Source organism: Homo sapiens, chromosome 10 (genome assembly GCF_000001405.40).
Source record: "Homo sapiens chromosome 10, GRCh38.p14 Primary Assembly".
Classification (NCBI taxonomy): Eukaryota; Metazoa; Chordata; class Mammalia; order Primates; family Hominidae; genus Homo; species Homo sapiens.
This window is the reverse complement of record NC_000010.11, coordinates 91,199,772-91,220,090: the sequence shown is the minus strand read 5'-3', so window position 1 is coordinate 91,220,090 and position 20,319 is coordinate 91,199,772. Positions and strand designations below refer to the sequence as shown.

Below are 20,319 nucleotides of genomic sequence, written 5' to 3'. Positions count from 1 at the left end.
ACAAACAAAAACCCAGTACTCTTTCTAGTGGACTTTGAGATCTACAAGAGACCATTCACTGCAAAAACCTTCATTCAAAAATGTGTATTCTAGAAGCCAGAGCAGTGATGGCTTAAGAAAATGACAATAATAGAGGGTAGGGGAGACTGTCAATGCAAAATATTTGCTTTTTCTCCAACTGATAGGCGTTAACTTCTTACTAAAGTGATAGATGACTCTAAGTGGCAAACCAACAAACTTAACAACCGCTAGTCCAGCAGCCATACAAGTGTTCAAAGATCCATTTCAAATTTAAAATGCATCAAGCAGTAGACCAAGGCAGCTTTTTAAACTATCCATTTTATAATCAAACTTTGACATGTTTAAAAATTGCCATTTCTAATATCACAGCAGGAGCAATACATTTTCTGAAACAGCTTTAAATGACCACATTCGTATAGTCCTTTAAAGAACCATTTTCCAAAATCATACATGCCAATGTCCAAGCTGGGATCAACTTCATAAGTCGCAGCAATCACAATGAGTAAGAGAAAACAAGTGAGGTCAAATGACTTCATGGCAGTAGGATTACTCTTTATGCTTCATATCTTTCATTTCAGAGACTAAACAGAACAGTATGTGAAAAATCACACTACTTCTAGTGTGTTTAAAATATGCATTGGAGGATATTACTGTATATATACCACAATATATAAAAAAGACTTGGTATGTTCCTATTTTGTGTCTGAAACTATTTTAAATATGTTTTAAAAGAATAACAGTGGAGTCCAGGGGGCTTAAATGTGATTGGTGACCTATCACAAGTGCGGTTAATCAGTATTCCTGAAGGAAACGAGCTTGAAGGCGGGTTTTAGGATGACATATGTTAGCAATGAAGGAAGGGGTCACAAACATGTGATACAGCAGTACCTGAGGATGAATGTGGAGGTGGGGTTGCCAGAATGGACTTGGGATGAGGGAGAACTACAACTTTTATAAGGCAATCTGTGCTTTGTGTCTGGAGAGGCAGCAATAGTTTGCAGTTAAGTGTTCTGTGGTTTCGCCTCTGCCTTCTTCAGCAACCATTCCATCTCTCCCACCCCAATTTAAAAAAATGCACACATACACAAAATAAAAACAAGTTTAAAAACTCAAACATTTGTCTGGTTAAAAAAATAATAATAGGCCTGGCACGGTGGCTCATGCCTGTAATCCTAGCACTTCTGGAGGCCGAGGTGGGCGGATCATGAGGTCAGGAGTTTGAGACCAGCCTGGCCAATATGGCGAAACCCCATCTCTACTAAAACAAAAATCAGCCGGGCATGGTGACATGCGCCTGTAGTCCCAGCTACTCAGGAGGCAGAGGCAGGAGAATCGCTTGAACCTAGGAGGTGGAAGTTGCAGTGAGCCGAGATCGCACCACTGCATTCTAGCCTGGGAGACAGAGCAAGGCTCTGTCTCAATAATAATAATAAAATAAGAATAATAACAAAAGTAATGGTAAGAGGGAGTGTTGTGAAATGGCAACTTTCCTGTGTGATGTGTATGCAGATTGTAAGTATTAAAACATGGGACTTTCAGCTGCTGTGCTGCCTCTCCTTCTCCCCTGGGGCTCCTTACCAGTTACTTATCCTAGTCTAGTCCCTTGGTACTGCCAGTGGGGGCAGAGGACAAATGACGGAAGCTACAACATGAGGGGGTAGCTCTGATAACAAATCTCAAGTACCAGTGGGACCCTCAAGTAAACAAAGGCCTGGAAGCAACTGGATATAGGACCAGGGGAAAAAAAAAGGCAGGATAAAGGAATCATAGCTGGGAGTCCCCTTATCAATAATGTACTTCAGCTTTCTCATTTTATAGATGTAGAAACTAAGATCCTGAGACGTGGTGAATTCATAATTACAGAGCTGATTCTGGTAGAGCCAAGACAAAAACAAAGGTGTCAGCTTCAGTTTTCTTTAATACCTCTTGAGAGTACTTCTCAAGTCCCAGAACTTAAGGGAGGTCTGGTAAGAAACAGATTAGGGCTGCGCACGGTGGCTCACGCCTGTAATCCCAGCACTTTGGGAGGCCAAGGCGGGCAGATCAACTGAGGTCAGGAGTTCAAGACCAGCCTGGCCAACATGGTGAAATCCTGTCTCTACTAAAAATACCAAAATTAGCCAGGCTTGGTGGCAGGTGCCTGTAATCCCAGCTACTAGGGAGGCTGAGGCAGGAGAATCACTTGAACTTGGGAGGTGGAGGTTGCAGTGAGCCAAGATCGCGCCATTGCACTCTAGTCTGGGGCACAAGAGCGAGACTATGTCTAAAGAAAAAACACACAGATTAACTTTTTTTGTTGTTGTTAAACAAGGAAGAAAGAAAGGGAAGAATGGATGAGGAGAGGGAGGGAAATAACTGTCTAGATGGCACTTAGGAGTGAAGTGGCCACTGGTGATTCCCTATCAAAGAAGCATAATCCCAAAGTGATAACTGCTGCATTTGAGTATTGGCCCAGACTCTTCCAGAGAACCACAAATGGCTCTTAATAACTCCTGGAACTACTTGGAGCTATCTGTATACCTAACAAATGTTTTCATTACTTTATATTTTATATCTAGATTTTTATTTCATTTATGGCTGGGCAATGGGTGGGTAGGTAGTTCTATACTAAAAGTTCACATTCCTTTCCTGCCTAATAAATACATCATTAATTAACTGACTTTTAATGGCATAAAGTGATTGAAAAATGTGGTTATATATTTACATCTCCCTGAAATATTAAATAAGGTGAATTTTTCAGCTGGGTGCGGTGGCTCATGCCTATAATCCCAGCACTTCGGGAGGCCGAGGCGGGTGGTCACAAGGTCAGGAGATCGAGACCATCCTGGCTAACACGGTGAAACTCCTTTTCTACTAAAAATACAAAAGATTAGCAGGGCGTGGTGGCAGGTGCCTGTAGTCCCAGCTACTCAGGAGGCTGAGGCAGGAGAATGGCGTGAACCCAGGAGGTGGAACTTGCAGTGAGCCAAGATCGTGCCACTGCACTCCATCCTGGGCGACAGAGCGAGAGACTCTGTCTCAAAAAAAAAAGGTGAAATTTTCATTATTATAAATTATGTACCTAAGAATGCTGTTTAATATTTTAACATAGAGTGTCTTTAACATATAAACTACTCTCTGTAATATAAAGGTCTTCCTATAGAGATTACAGAAAATATTACAATTGAACATAAATATCCTATAAGGCCCACATATATTTATTTTATGACCATGAATATTATAACTCTAAATCTATGTTTGCCTAAAATCAATGATGTATGAATGGTAGGGGGAACAGAGAATTGAAGAGAACTTCCAATCACCCTTGACCATGTCTTTCTCTTACTGCACCCCTCTCCCACAATCCAATAATTTTCAAGGACTTCCCTTGCTAAATGTCTCTTAAATCCCTCTGTTTAGCCACCCTGTTCAGATCCACTATCATCTCTACTCTCTATCACTCAATGAACTCTTAAGTAGTCTTCCTACAGCTCTTTTCTGCCAAAGCATCTTCCACAGCACAGCCAGAAGACTCTTTCTAACTATATAAATGAGGGTCATGCTGCTCTCTGGCTTTAAAAAACCTCATTTCTAGAATAATGCCCAAACACTTAATAAGGCCATTTCAAATCCCTGTCACTTCTACAGCCTCCCCACCCCCACTTGAACTCTGTGCTCCAGCCATAATGTACCTCTTTACTCTCTAGCTAGATAGATAGGTCTTCTTCCAAATGACCACCCTGTCTTTATCCCCTCACCCTTCCCCACCTCTGCTAAGTCTGACCAACCCTTATATATCCTTTCACGTATTAGCTGATTTCAAAGGTCACCTTCTCAGGCACCTCAAAGCTGCCAAAGAGCCTCCTGTATACACACAGACCATATTCATACATTAACAACTCACATTTATCCTCTCAAATCAAATATCACACTCTTAGATTATCTGATTTACTCATCTGGATCTCCCACTAGAGTGTAAGCCCAGTGGATCCACTGCTTGGCTATGCATATCCCCAGCAGAGTGGATGGCAAAAAGCAAGTGTTCAAACAAATATTTATTGAAAAACTGAATAATTTGCAGCATACATTCTAAGAACTGATCCTATGTATTCTTTCTTGGGTTTCTTCTTGAAGGGATCCTTACAAAGGATGTGTTAAGGCATAATCCCTGCCTTCTTGGATTATTAATTAAAATCACACCAGGGAGTACAGACTTATCCACAAGAAACAATTATGGAGCAATATATCAAAATTTATTAATAAAGTGTTAAATGGAACATGATCAAGTGACAAAAACTCTAGTTGAAAGCAGCAGCACTATGGGTGGACAAGAAATTAGTCCTAAATGCCTTCTCTGCCAGTTACAAATGAATGGTAATGGCATATGAATGATAAATGAGAAGGCCAGAAGAAAAGTGTGTTAGCTGTCAACTCCAGCCTCACCATGGCCAGTATCAGCAGCTCTGAGAAGAGGCCCTGAAGGGCTGGGTGGTGAGATTTCCCCATCCCATCTCTTTTCAAAGACAGCAAACTCAGCAAAAGAGGGCACATTTGAAAATAAGAATATTGCAGCTATGGGAACTAGATCAGACCTGACAGCCTCCTAAGGAGAAGGACGTATGTTTTTATTTCTATGACGTTAAACAAGGGAATTTAAGCTGCTGATGGGTATTCTCCTTTTCTAGCTTTTTGGATGACTATTATATGCATATTAAGAAGAATCTGTGAACAGGGAGTTTCACACAAGTCACCAAGGCCGAGGTCTGTTCACTAACTATATTACTGAATTATAAAAGACGAGGCTTTGATACCAGATCATTTCAATATCACCATTTTAATTTATTAAATTAAGAAAACTGAAGAAAAATCCAAGGAAGAGGAGTAATTACATGTATTCATTTATGCTTTTAAAAAGCAAATTTTGTCAAGAACTGTTGTTCCTGATTTGAACAACTTACAATGATATTTCACTTCCCAAAAATGTTAGGAGGGTGATGCTTATTACAAGTACTGATGAGGAAGTTAATTAGAACTTCATGATTATAAATTCATAGATCACCATTTCCTTTACAATATTTCCGTAACCATTGATTCTTTAATCCTTTTTACCAGTGAAGTATGAAATTTTAAGTAGAACACTCATTTCTACTAGAAAAGGAAAGACTTTCTGTAATAAGAACCTGAACTTATAAGCATAAATTGATTTTAAAATAACTGTATTCTGGCTTATATCCCCATTTGGGGATTCTCTGCTCCTTCCTTTCAATTTAGTTTAATCAACCTTTCTCTGGATCCATTTCCTTCCTTGTCTTCCTCAGACCCAATGCAATCATCATTAACTTTCTCCCTGTTCTGGTTATCATATTTTATCTGCAGTTCTTTAGCCTTTTGGCCGTTCATCTGTTTGTCGTGCTCCTCTACCAGTGTGCTTGTCTGCAAATCAGTACTACTAAAAACATGCTATCCCGGTCAACTGGGTTCTTAATGCTGCGTTTTGTTTTGCTTTGTTCTTATAATTACTCCTGTATATGCCTGGACAAATTGTCTCCTATTTCTCATAGCCATGATTTTGAATTTGATCAGTTCCCTTAAATTCTCTAACCCAGAGGTAGCTAAGTATAGTCCCTTCTTCTGGTAGCAACCTCCCTGGAGGAAATTTCCCCTCCCCTACAACATACAATTGTGCTGCTGCTCCAGCAGTCCCATGGCCGTCTTCTCTCTGTGCATCTATCTTCGCATGACATTCTCCTTGTCTGTCTGTCTCTCCTTTTTTTTTTTTTTAACATATATTTTTTAAGACAAAGTCTGTCTCCCAGGCCAGAATGCAGTGGTGCAATCACGCCTCATTGCAGCCTCAACCTCCCAGGCTCAAGTGATCCTCCCACCTCAACCTCCAGAGTAGCTGGGACCATGGGTACATACCACCATGCTCAGATAATTTTTGTATTTTTTGTAGTGACAAGATTTCACCATGTTTCCCAGGCTGGTCTTGAACTTCTGGGCTCAAGCAATCCACCCACCTTGGCCTCCCAAAATGCTGGGATTACAGATATGAGCCACCATGCCTGGCCTTTTCCTCTTCTTATAAGGACATGAGTCTTACTGAATTAAGAGCCCAAACTGATTATACCTTCAAAGAATATGACCTTTCCAAATAAGGTCATATTCACAGGTAGCAGAGGCTAAGACTTCACCAGTTCTTTTTGAGAGACTCAATTCAACCCATAGCAGGCATTTAGAATAAATCTGTTTAATGTTTAACATGTAGTACATAACACTTAATGTGGCACATTAAAATAATGAAGTGGCTGGGCATGGTGGCTCACGCCTGTAATCCCAGTACTTTGGGAGGCCGAGGTGGGGACCTCTCTGAGGTCGGGAGTTTGAGACCAGCCTGACCAACATGGAGAAACCCCATCTCTACTAAAAATACAAAAAAGAAAAAAAAAAAGAAAAAAAAAAGCCTGGTGTGGTGGTGCATGCCTATAATCCCAGCTACTCGGGAGGCTGAGGCAGGAGAATCGCTTGAACCTGGGAGGCGGAGGTTGCAGTGAGCCAAGATCACGCCATTGCACTCCAGCCTGGGCAACAAGAGCAAAACTTCATCTTAAAAAAAAATTTTTTTTAATGAAATAAAATAATGAAGTTAATGAACAAAGTACAGAAACATACTTATAATATCTGACACAGAACTAATTTGTGCTACTTGTAGCCAAATAGAGGTTACTTATGCATACGTATATACAAATACATACAGATATATCCACACATATGTAGAGTATATTTTAAGGACTGCACAGACTAAGAAATAGATGTGTTCCTTCAAATATTAGTCATACTTTTGATTCATCTCTCTTACATTTTCTAAAACACAAATAGAATTAATACTAATTAATAACTATTCATGCCAGTAAATGCATGGCATTATATTTGGAGTGCTAAACAAGAAACTATTAGCATTTACAAGCTTTGACCCTTGAAAACACTTAAACTGCACATAAGAACACTCTCTATACCAGATATGGAAACATCTATAATATTCAGAATAAGATACAGACGAGCAGCGCTTAGGAAGTATAACTTATTGTGATTAAAATGTGAGTGTAATATTATCCTTTGAAGATGGTATTTCTTCATATAGTATAACACATATGCTGTACAATTTTTCATAGTTTCTACCATGAAGATGAGTCTGAAGCACAACTTATTCAGATCTTTACAAAGAGAGGAGACATCAAGCTTAATAAAAATCCAAACGTCCCAATAGATGAATTAAACTTACTTCCAGCTAAGAAAAAAATCTTAAGATTAAAGAAAAACTTTAAGCAAGGGTATTAAAACAGAACTCTTGTTTTTATAGAGAGCTGCCTTCCATTTTCTTACCTACCCAAAGTGTGAACACAACAAACAGAATTAGTGGGCATGCGTTATAGAAGTTAGGCTGTACAATTCTTCTAGGGATATTCATAGTTATTTTCCACTTTGATTTATTCAGATTCAATTCTCTATCTCATTCCTGTCAGTAGAGTAGCCTCTGAGTATACAATATAAAATATTAATCAAGAAAAAAAAGCAAACCAAACTTCCAGCTACTTCTGGTCAAATAATTCATTTCCTCTAACTGACCAGAATAAGAGTTCTCTGTGACTATTAAGAGACACTCCAAATTACTCTGATCTAATTATTTCTCAATGGCTTTTAAGCATGTTCATCAAATCTGTGAAATGGGGATGTAGTGAAAACAGAATGGCCTCATGCAACACAATATTTCATGTATCTTCCCGTGCCTTCTTGAACAGTGTGGAAATTATGGTGACACCTCTAACACCTCATTTTCAACTGCATGAAGGCAAAAAGCAACTCTACAAAGCTTTCTCAAGCTTCAATTAACCTATTTCTGAGTATCAGCTTTATGTCTCTCCCTTGCCTAATAACTAACAATGGAATGAGCTCTTCCAAGTACACAGTATTTTGCTAAGCATTTTATATCATTATTGTTTCATTTATTATTTATAGCAATCCTGTAAGATAAATAAAATCATTGTCCTCATCTTATAAATGAGGAAACCATGGTACAGAGAGTTTGTGCAACAACCAGTATCACACCGCTCCTGACAATGGAGGCAGGAGTGGAACCTTGTGGTGCAGCTCCTGAACCATTCTAGTGCTGCTCAACCACCTTCCAGACCACTTTGCTCTGCAGCACTGCAACACCTCTGGGGCCTGGTTCCAGATAAGCTCTATAACCTTGTCTCCACTCTTTCCAAGACAAAGCCTCTACTTTAACAACTCGACCAGGCTTCTCACTATCCCTTGAACACAGTGTGAATGCCAACCTCTAGCTTCTGCTTACACTGAGCCCTACTAACTGGAATGCTCTCCCTCCTCCTCCTCTTCCTCTTCTTCACTATTCAGTTGCAATTCTACATCTTCCTAAACTGTTCATTCTTCCAGCCTTTCTACCTCATAGGAATCTCTCTTCCTATGAAGATAGAAGAACTGCTGGAGACCCATGAACCTGATACCTAAGTTGGTTTTGGGTCAGTACTGACGTTTCACATTTATGCAGATCAGGTCCGATAGTAAATGACCTGAAGGCAGGGACAAGTATGGCCCCTGCAAAGGTCTGGGAACCTGGCAGGAGTTCAACAAATGCTGGATAAATTTACAATAACCTCTATAGCAATACAGTAAGAGTAACACAGCACACTGTCATGGAGAAACACTCTAAGAAATCATTTCAAGACTTTCAGACATTAAAGGCACCACCTAACTTTCCAGAATATTCTTTAACTTAACAACTAATCCCCCCAGCTAATCACATCAACAAAGTATGCATTTCTGTGTCTGGATATAGCCAAGTCAGTATTGTATACATGTGCATAAACAGCCAGGGACTGACATTCAAGCAATGTTCAAACATAGCATTGGAAATCTAATGAGGAATTTAAGTTTGCTGTAATCAAAATAATGCTTGCAAAAAGCTGATAAGATGGGAAATAAAAATAAAATGCACTCCATTACCATTCCTTTTTGCTTTGGACCACTTATTTAACAAATGCCTCCTGGTACCTAATGCATGGTAAACACTGCTTTAGGCACTGTAAAGGATGCTACTATAGTCCTTCTGGGTTTTTGTGTGAAGCAGCTCACCTGTCTGATAATTCTTCGTGTCTGAAAAAATGAGATATTCTTCTACATTTAAATGAGAGAATAGGTGAAACTTGCTCTCCTACTTACTACTATCTCCAGAATACATACACATTTTTGAGATGTTACAGTGATTTGAGTTAGAACTGGAAACATTTCTGATTTTCAGTGATTATTTTTAAATGTAGCTCACAGGACAGAGAAAGGGAGAGACCAAACAACAGAAAGCAGGTGTGGTCTTAATTGGTACCAGGTGTCTAGCACTAGAGGCACTGAAACAGCCTTTCTGCTTTCCACCAGGTGTTGGCACCCAGCCATGACAAAGCCCTTGAATACTGTGCTAGTGGCCTCCACAGACCACAGGTTCTGCTGGCCCTGTGCTTCTATAGCAACCACTGAACCTCTGTGGGCCAATGATCTCTTACCAAGCTAAGCCAGTTATCCAGTTTGACATTAGAGATCTTCAGGTGGCATCCTCTAACAAAGATGACTTAAAAGGTACCACCTTGTGTATCTTACTAGATTTGCAGGTTAGCATTTAGAAGTAATGAGTAATGTTTTCACAGTGTGGCTACGTTAAACACCCTTCTATAACATATACATAATTGAGAGATGGGGAATAAAATTCATACTAACTCCACATCGTTCAATGAACACAAGTGTGTGCTGTGACCAGGAAGCACAAGAGCTGTAGCACTCTCTGGCAGAAAAAGGATCTCAAGCAGCAGGTGGACTGTTTGCTATAAGGGGAAGGGCATCCAAATCTCCCAGCAGACAGGTGGGGGCCCATCCCTCTAGGAAGAAGGAAGCGTTAAGGGAGAGCAGTGGGGCATATGAAGTTGCAAATCATTTATATGTTAGAAATTGCCCAAGCTTTATAGATTGTCTAATGCTATGATCTGCTATCCATCTAAATGCCAGAAGTGGCAAAAGACACAAATGGTAGAGATTAAAAGGAACAAATAAACAACAAACAAAAACACCCATTTGGGAATCTCAATTTCCACATGTCAATCTCATTGAGTTGACACGTGCATATTGGTTCCACATTCATTCATTCATTCCCTAATGCCCATTGATAGCTACTAAACTGGGAGACTCTACTCCTATCAGCAGATATCCTCCAATTCCTTTCTTCGTTTTTCTTTTTTTTTTTTTTTTTTTCTTTTTTTTTCTTCGAGACGGAGTCTCGCTCTGTTGCCCAGGTCGGACTGCGGACTGCAGTGGCGCAATCTCGGCTCACTGCAAGCTCCGCTTCCCGGGTTCACGCCATTCTCCTGCCTCAGCCTCCCGAGTAGCTGGGACTACAGGCGCCCGCCACCGCGCCCGGCTAATTTTTTGTATTTTTAGTAGAGACGGGGTTTCACCTTGTTAGCCAGGATGGTCTCGATCTCCTGACCTCATGATCCACCCGCCTCGGCCTCCCAAAGTGCTGGGATTACAGGCGTGAGCCACCGCGCCCGGCCTCCTTTTTCTTTTTAATCTAATTTTTTTTGTAAAGACAAAGCCTCACTATGCTGTCCAGGCTGGTTTCAAACTCCTGGTCTCAAATGATCCTCCTACCTTAGCCTCCCAAAAGTTCTGGGATTACAGGTGTGTGCCACTGTGCCCAGCCCCATCCTCTGACTTCTGACAGATGTCTAAAGAGGAAGTCCCTCACTTGTAAAGTTCTCTTCTTCTACAAGGAAGATTCCATCAATTAACATAATTAATAGACTAAGGGAAAATATTAGTCAGGTAACAGATGAGTAAATGAAATTATGTCAGAAAAAAGGATTAATGATAAAATGTAAACACATTAAACAAAGTTACTAAGCAACACAAAATACTATGTATATTTGGAATTCTGAATAAATGAATTGAATGTAACAGTAACAAACTACAAATGGCCAGAGTGCCAACAACAATCTGCCTATAAATTACTTCTAAAGGGAAAAAAAGTATTTGACCAAAAGCCACTGAAACCTACCAATGGCAGAAAGCTCACACTCCTGTAGAGCAAGAAAAATGAGAATTTTCTTTTTGATTAGGAGAGTTTAAACTGCCTAACTTCCCTTGGTACCAATAAAGTTTGGTTTGACTAACAGAAAACCAGTAGAGACACATCCAACACTGAAGGTGTCACTATTTCCCATGGTCCCAGAAACCAGGAACTGAAGCCAGCTCCCTGAAAGTTCAGGATTTCAAGAGAAATGCAAAATAAGCATGAGTGTGAGGCCAGCATTCCTCATTATCATGATTTCTGGGACTCAAGCAGGTGGGGTACACATCCTCTCTCCCCTATGCCTACCAGAGTTCATATATTTTCCAAGAGATCATTCTCTTCCATGATAATGAGGTGAATTTTTCATACTAATACAGGGAGAGCAATGTGTTTTGGCTCTTTCCAATGAGCCCATAGATGCCTACAGCTTTGTTACTTCAGCCAGGGTCCACAGATCAGCCAGCATCAGCAGGGATCTTGTTAGGAATGCAGAATCTGGGCCCTCAGGTGATTCATACACAATTAAAATTGAAGTGGCACTGTGAATGGACTAAAAATGTCTCTTACTCCCGGATTAGGTATTTCTCTCCCCAGATGCCAAGGATCAGTGCAGTTAGGCCAACTCTAGGACAATCTGAGCATCAAAATGAGCAAGAGGAATGGATCATACACACTGAATTTAAAGAAAATAATCCATGAGTCCATATTTACAACAAGCAAGCAAATAAACAAATGGGAGGAAAAGAAGAATCCTTCTTTTCAAGAGAATGTCAACTTATGTAAGGAATGAAAGAATTATAAAATCACTATTTTATAACCATGTTATTAATTGATTCAGGCAAGAATCTCCAGGGATCCTAAAACTATTAAGAAAAAATTGCTGGGTAGAGGATATTTACATAGTTGTACAGTGTCTCTCGACAGAGATAGTCTAATTTCATGTAATTAAAATTGATACTATAAATTTATGAATTACAAAGGGGAAAAGGTACCCCTACAATGGAGCAATCCATTGGATGCTACCTAAACAGTGATTGCATCTAACAGCACTAATAATGGGATAATCTGACATTATGTACCTGCTGAGATGATGCTCTTAGGAGGATACATTATCACCTATGTAATGTTTCTGCCCAAAATGTCTATCCTGACTATAATCATTTGGAAACATAAAATAAGTCCACATTGAGGGCCATTTTACAAAACAAATGGCCTACACTTTTTGAAAATATTAATGTCATGAAAGACAAAGAAAAATTGAGAAAGATTAAAGAAATTTGATAACTAAATACAGTGTGTGATTTTAGACTGTTTACTGAATTGGGACTTCATTATTGTTACGGTTATAAAGGATATCATTGGGACAGGTCTGCACATTAGATACTATTATAACAATGCCATATTTCCTGAATATAGTAACTGTATGTCCTTTCTTAGGTGATACAACCTGAAGTATTTAGAGGTAAAGGGTCATGTCTGCAACTATTCTTAAATGGTTCATTGAAAATTGTAGTAACATGTATATACAGAGATAAAGCAAATGGGGCAAAATGTTAAACAGTGAATCTAAGTGAGAGATATACGGATGTTCATTGAAAGATTTTGGCAACTTTTCTGTAGATTTTGAATTTCTCAAGAAGCTGAAAGTAGAAAAAATGTGTAAGATCAAAAGTAATGCAATGACAAATGGCTCATCTCACAACTCTCTAGTAGAAGAATACTACCACCAGCTGCACATCCCTCACCAAAGTGGTCTTAAACTTAAATAAAAGTAAATGATAGGCTGAAAAAATTCCTCTTTAAAAGGTTTTTAGGAAAAGGGTCTTTCTATGCTAAAAGCCCCTTCTTAGAAAATGCACCTCCTAATTCCTTCTACAGTGGGCGAGGCTATGTTCTCAGCACAGGAAATATAGCACTGAACCAGACAAAGCCCCTGTTCTCACGGACCTTGCATCCTAGAAGGAAATAGGCAATAAACAAATAAATAAGGTCATGTAGTGATCAGTGCTGTAAAGAAAAATAAAACCAAGAGGGACTCTGGGGCAGTGCTATTTAAAATAGGGAGGTGAGAGAAGGATTTAGTTAGGTGACATTTAGCACAGATCTGAATGAGGTAAGGGACTAAACTGTGCAGGTAACTGGGGGAAGAGCGTACCAGGCAGAGAATACACAATGTAAGGCAAAGGCATGGAGGCAGGATCATGCTTAGGTGCAGATAGCAACAGAGAAAGCACAGGAAAGGAAGTCAGAGACCATGCAGTCCCCCACAGGCTGTTACTGAGACTTCACCCTTTACTCTAAGCTGACTGCTGCCTCCTACCATTTCTACCTACCCAGTGTTCTTGCTCCAGACTGGCAACTATGCAGTTGCATAATGAAGGGACCACTGTGGGGAAATGCAGCCAAGTGTACTCTCCTAAGTGCACTGAGGCTCCATGCAGGCTTTCCCTATCTGCTAGTTTCATCCCAGGTGATATCTTCCTCATACTCTGCCTAATTCCTTTCTCCCTCCCACTCTCTTTTAATCCTCATTCAAAGGCATCAGAAATTGTCTCTTTGGTTTTTGAGATTAAAAAAAAAGTGGCTTATCATGGCTGACATGTTGAAGAGTCTTATTTATAACATCTAGTGCTTGTTTTCACAGAAGTCACCATCCTTTCCAAATGTTACATCTGTACCTACCTTTCCATTCTCCTTTAATCAAACCTGCTTTTTCTCCGAGTTCTGCTGTTCAGCTCCTTGACGGCAGGAGCTACCCTGTTCATTCTTTCATTCCTAGTGGCAAGCACAGACTTTGGCACATAGTAGTTCTCCGATAAATATTTGTGGCACTATTTTATAAATAAAAGATTAAAAAGCCAATTTATTGTTAGGCTGTTGCCAAAATTTGCCCAAATGTTGGTATACCATGTCTTTTAGTTTTTTTGTTTGTTTTTTGACAGAGTCGCGGTCCGTCACCCAGGTCGGAGTGCAGTGGTGTGATCTCAGCTCACTGAAACCTGTGCCTCCCGGGTTCAAGCAATTCTCCCACCTCAGCCTCCCGTGTTCAAGCAATTCTCCCACCTCAGCCTCCCAAGTAGCTGGGATTACAAGCATCCACCACCGTGCCTGGCTACTTTTTGTATTTTTAGCAGAGATAGGGTTTTGCCATGTTGGCCAGGCTGGTCTCAAACTCCTGACCAACAAATGACCACAAGTGATCCACCTGCCTCGGCCTCCCAAAGTGCTGGAATTACAGGGGTGAGCCACCACGCCCAGCCTCAGTTTTATTAACTGTAAATATACTGTCAATGATTCTGATGTGGTCCGATGCAGGGCAAGGAATCTGGCATAAAGTAGAAACTCTCTAGGTGTTTGATGGATAGAGGAATAGTTCAATGGACAAACACAGATTAGATAGGACTTGTGTGGCCTGGCCTGAGAAACTCATCATTTATAATGTTTACAACATTGTTTCTTCAGGAAAAATGTACTTTGAGCTTGGCTCAGTTTATGAATGAACGCTGGAATATACCCTTGTCACTTAAAATACTAATATCTAGGTCTATGGGTGTGTTTTTATTCACAGATTATCTGTGAAGGATTTAGAGTGCCACGTCTGACCTGGGGAAGGGTGGAAGATAATTTGCTCCATGTTAGCTGGGCCGTGTGTGTGTGTGTGTGTGTCCAGTCATTTAGAAACCCAGAAAAAAGAAAAATCGTTCCATAATAGCCTTTCAAAATATTTGGGAACAATTGCGCTCAAGGCTGGATGACAGGGAAAATCAAAGAAATGAAGATTTTGCCCAACTTAGTGACTCTAGTGAGAGAGATAAATATATTTTATGCATTTAAAATAACTGTATTTACATATCTAATCTCACTGGACCATAAGAATTAGCAACCTAAACTGTGTTACATATAACTTAGTTTACTCATAAAATTTTAAAAAATTGTTTATGTAGATAAAAATTACAAATTTGCTAGATAGTTTACAGATATATTTCAATTTAAATATAGCTATGTATTCCAAATTTTAAGAAACATTATTTCTGGTATTTTATGAGAAAGAAGTTAAAACTTGAACATCAAGGAAATCTTTCACCATTGTGCCCAGATAAAGGCATTTATTACATTTCTTGATCTTGGTGACCTACACAGAATCAAAACAATACCCAAAGTACTCATTTTCACAAAAGACAGTGAGGCAGTGAAAGGAGGAAGAAATCTGAAGAAGAGAGAGAAAAAGGGCAGGACGTGGCAATAATGAGTTGGCAGTGGGGAACTTTTGTTATGTACAACTATTTTTATCCTCAGAGCTCTCCTTCTTTGCATTTTCTGGGTTCTCATGTTTATCATCTTCCAAGACTTGAGAACCAAACATTTGTCTGGAAAGGAATGGCTCTACCATTTCATATCCACTTATTCTGTGTTTTAGTAACTTCCAAACAGGCTGTTTGTGAAAATGTGCCTGGAACACAATAGTAAATAAAATAGACCTGGCCTGGTCATCATAGAGTCTGCATTCTAGAAGAATTAAATTAATATCTATGAAGTAAATATTAGTTAAAAGTATATAAGACAGTTACTTGAGTGCAATCATCTAACAAAAGGAGGAAAGACTAATGTAAGGGTTTTTTTTTAAATGAAAACCTTAATTCAGATTAAGGTTTAATTAAAACCTAATCCAATAAGTTCAATTTATTATCCAATGCTGGAATCCCATCTAAGACATCCCTAACAGCCCTCTTCCCTATTGCAAAGCTTGTCAGAATATTTTATGAGGAGTAAAGAGTAGACATAAACTTATGCAAATTAAACATTATATTCATAATTCTAAAAGTTTAATCTTTATAAAAGCAAATCACTATTCAAAAACATGTTCTCTAAATGTTATCACTACCTTATCTGTAGTTCTGGTTACAGATATTAGAACATTTTTATGATTTTGTGGTGTCATGCTTCACAAACTCAACAATAAACATCAAATAGTTGTACAATCACTTATGAAAACTGCATAAAAGTGTTAAATTAGCTTACACTGACATAACGCTCATTTCAGAAATGTGGGCCTGACTGAAATCATTAGGTTCACAAAAATTAAACAGCCTAAAACAATCAGGTTTAAAACTTTTAAATATATACACTTGTTTTTGTTGTTGACAAATTTCCTATATTAAAAGAATAAAGGATCTATAAAATTTATTTCAATTTCAAATTTACAATGGAAATGAAAAATGTTAAGAGAACGGAGAAAACAATAGGAAAGAAAATTTCCATTAATATAGGTAATTGGTTTATCAGGATGTAGTTTTCAAGAAATTAAAAACATGAGTCTTGTACAAATATATATTAAGCATATGTCAAAAATTTATTTTAACTCAGCAGGATGGCACATCTGGTTCAATGTAATACAGGAAAGACTGAAGTGTATACAGTCAATGAAATACAGAATACTGAAATAAGATTGCTAATTTAGAAATAAAACTAGTTACTATCCTATAGGGCAATAAAACTATAACCTTTGGGGTTATCTTCTTTATCAGACAGAAGTCATTTGCAGGGGATCAATCTACAAATTAACATCTAACTTCATAGAATCTGGATCCTAATAAAAAGTAAGTTAAACAAAGGAACACTTTCCTAGAGAATTACATGATCCTTGGCTGGTGTCTTAAGTGCTCCAAGAAAACGCTAAAAAGACATGCAATCATCCTGTGCCTTATTCCCAAATGTTGGATAATTTTCCTAAACATTTTAATATGCAACAAAACCTTGGCTATACAAAGCCCTGCTGAATGGGTTAGTCTTGATAGTGGCATGCTCTAGAGACCTAAATTAGCCCTTAAAATGCTTAGTACCAAGGGGTTTGCTGGTAGATTGTGGCTGAACACTTCCCCTGCCCCTACCTCCATCAAGGCTGCAAAGTCACCATTTTTGTTTGTTTGCTTTCTTGCTTTTTTAAATCATGTTTGGCCTGTATTCTGCATCAGAAAATTTGCTGCTTACCCTGTATTGTTTTTAGTCATTTTCACAAACACATTTCTTTACTGTTTTTCTTCCTTTGAAAATATCCCCTCATCTGAACATTAATCATGTCAACCTTTTAAGCAAAGAATGATCTAACTCCTTCAACATAAATACATCTAAAAGTTGAGTCACAGTTTGATAGTAAGCATATTATATAGCATAAATGGCCAATCTTTTCGCCTAACTACCCCTTGCCCCAACATTAAGAAGCACATTGAAAATAACTTACTATTTAAGATCAATAATTAGTTAATAACCTCTATTTACTGAAACCAATTAAGTACAAGAAGGAAGTTTTCAAGGCTTCTAAGGAGTCAAATATAGTAACAACTTCTGGCTGTATATTATATTACAGTATCCCTCATTTAGACTCTTAATAATTAACAGTAACGATGACTACTATGCAATGACTACTCACTATGTGCCAAATACTGTGCTAAGAGCTTACAAATTTATCCTATTTAATCCTCACAACAATCCTGTTAACTACTTTGTATTATTTGCCTCATTTTTCAGAAGAATAAACTGAATCACAGGGAATTAAATTAACTCTCTCAAGGTCACAATGGTGGGTTTTACTGAAATCATTAGGTTCACAAAAATTAATCAGCTTAAAACAATCAGATCACAACGGTGGTGGATTCAAATCCAGGTTATTTTGCTTCAGAGTCTATAGGCTTAACCACCATACTACATCAAAAAAGACAGAAGAACCATAAAAACAGATACATCGACCATCATCATCATAGCACTTATACAGCACATTTTATACGAAGGCATGGTTCTAAGCAGTGAACATATAAAAACTTATTTATTTCTCACAATAATCCTAGGGGGTGAGTACAATTATTCTTCTCAATTTGGGAAAGAAGAAATTGAGGCAAACAGTGGTTACACCTGGTCACAATGCTAATAAAATGCAAGGCTTGGATATAATCCTGGACAGTGTAGCTCCCAAGTCCAGGACCCTCCCTTGATGCCACCCTGCTTCTTCTAACAATTTCAAAAGCATAGTGCCAGTAAACAGTCCTAACACTTCAGAAACTCTGAGGTTGGAAATCACCACATTAAAGCACAGAACCTTAACTAAATGTTCATCACTATGATCAAAAGTCATCAAGAACAGATTAAAAGGTTTTCATTCAGCCTTGTTAAGAAGGCAAAAAAGTAACACACTTAAACAAAATTTCATCCAAGATGGGTTTCTTAAAAAAAAAAAAAAAAGGTTTTCTGGAAAATGAACTCAATACAGAACAAATGAGGTGTTACAGTAGTGTTAAAAAATCTTTCTGCAGACATTGTTTTTGTTCTTGCTGCCTTGGGGTTTCTCAGAATTCCCTCAGGGGCTGTGGGTGGAGGGAGGAGGGGAGAAGATAGTTCTCCACTCCACCTTCAAACACATAACTCTGTTTACGTATTTTTTTTACACATTGGGCTTCCTGGTAAGCTTTCACTTTGATGGGACCTAAGCTCCTGTTTATGATTTGAATGAGTTCCCCAAATTTCATGTGCTGATAACTTAATCTTCAAATTCATACGTTGATGGCATTTAGAGGTGGGGCTTTGGGAGGTAATTAAGATTAGTAATGTCACTGGGGGGACCATGATAGGACTAGTGGCTTTACATGAAGAGAGACCTGAGCTGACACACTCAGCCCCTCACCATGTGATGCCCAGCTCAGAAGGTTGCAGAGGGTCTCCACCGGCAAGAAGGCCCTCACCAGATACCTCACCCTTGGATGTCCCAGCCTCCAGATACGTAAGCAATACATTTCTTTCCTTTATAAATTGCCCAGTCTCAGGTATTCAGCTGTAGCAACAGAAAACAAACTAAGACAGCTCCCATGAAAATGTGGTCTAAGTGGGCAGCTCTTCTCACTTTTATAAAACTTTCCCCATCACCTCCCTGGTGTCTCAGGAGTTCCACTTCACACTATTTTTCCATTTGCCTCTTGAATCTTGTGCTTGCCCAAGCTCTGACCATTCTCCCACCTGACCCTCCCCCTTTCCACTTCCCTCTGTCAACAGTAATCACGAACACAGCTAATGTTATCAACCTCCTACACAGCAAGCTCTAGGTTAATATTTTTACATCAATTACTTCATTGAATGCTCTCAACACCCTTATGAATTGGGTTCTATAATTGGCCCCACCGTATACAGGAAGAAACCAAAGCTTAATTTGCCCACTGTCCAATGACCACAAAGTGATGAATATAGGATAAACTAGATTGCCCACTAGAAAGGCCCCCAACTCTTCACCAGTACACAATCCTGCCTCTCAGCCTCTGCCAATTATGTTCAAATCTCCCACTGAGACTGTGTTCAAGACTCAATATCTTAAAAACAAAACAAAACAAACAGCACCTTCCCTTCTGGCACAGTCCCTTATAGCAGCACCTCAACAATGACAAATGCAATGCACAGCTTTCAATGCAATCTCATCCATACCTGTTGATATTAATGCTTATAAAATCTTCTCTTCTTCTTTCAAACATATATGCGCACTTCCCAGAAAGGGGCTACATCCCCTGTTCTTTCTATACCCTCACTCTCTCTTAACTAGATTAGTTGAACAATTTTGGGCACCGAGTAGGAAGATATTAATAATCAGCATAAAGAACCCTGGTCAGTAGTCAGGATACCAGAGTTCTGGTTCAGTTTCAGGCAATCCCCTATAGCAGACACTGTCACTGTCTCCTCCTCCCTCTTATCTCCTCCACGCTCATCTCTACATGCTGAAGGCAGCCTTCTTGAACACCTGTGGCTTTTATTCTGGCTCTGGGAGCAGGCTGGGCCCTCTCCCACAGTGAGGCAAAAATGCAGGGAAGTTAGCATCTCCAGGAAACAGCCCTCAGTCAAGGAGGATGGATAGTTGATGGGCAAGTAACCCAATTTCCCTGTCCTTTGGGTAGGATAGCCTGAAGCGTGTAGACTAGTTCCTAGAGTTCCTTAAACGGATTGAGCTCCAGTTGCCCACAGCAGTAATTCTCTTGAAACTATACCCTTTATTGCTTTCTTTTTCCTCCCTGTCCCACTTCTCTACTTTCCTGTTGATATTTCTTGGGAGAACCTCTCAACTAAACCACTTACTCTCAAATTCTTGTCTTGGGGTCTGTTTCTGGGGAAACCACACTAAAATTTATTCTCCTTTGTTTATTTACTCCACTTCCCTA

General features: G+C 39.1%; 1 protein-coding gene across 7 annotated transcripts in view; it reads right to left on the bottom strand.

Annotated features, from left to right (window-relative positions):
- Positions 1-20,319, bottom strand: part of PCGF5 (polycomb group ring finger 5) — a 128,119-nt gene that overhangs the window by 64,247 nt on the left and 43,553 nt on the right. The gene's annotated exons all lie outside the window — the stretch shown is intronic.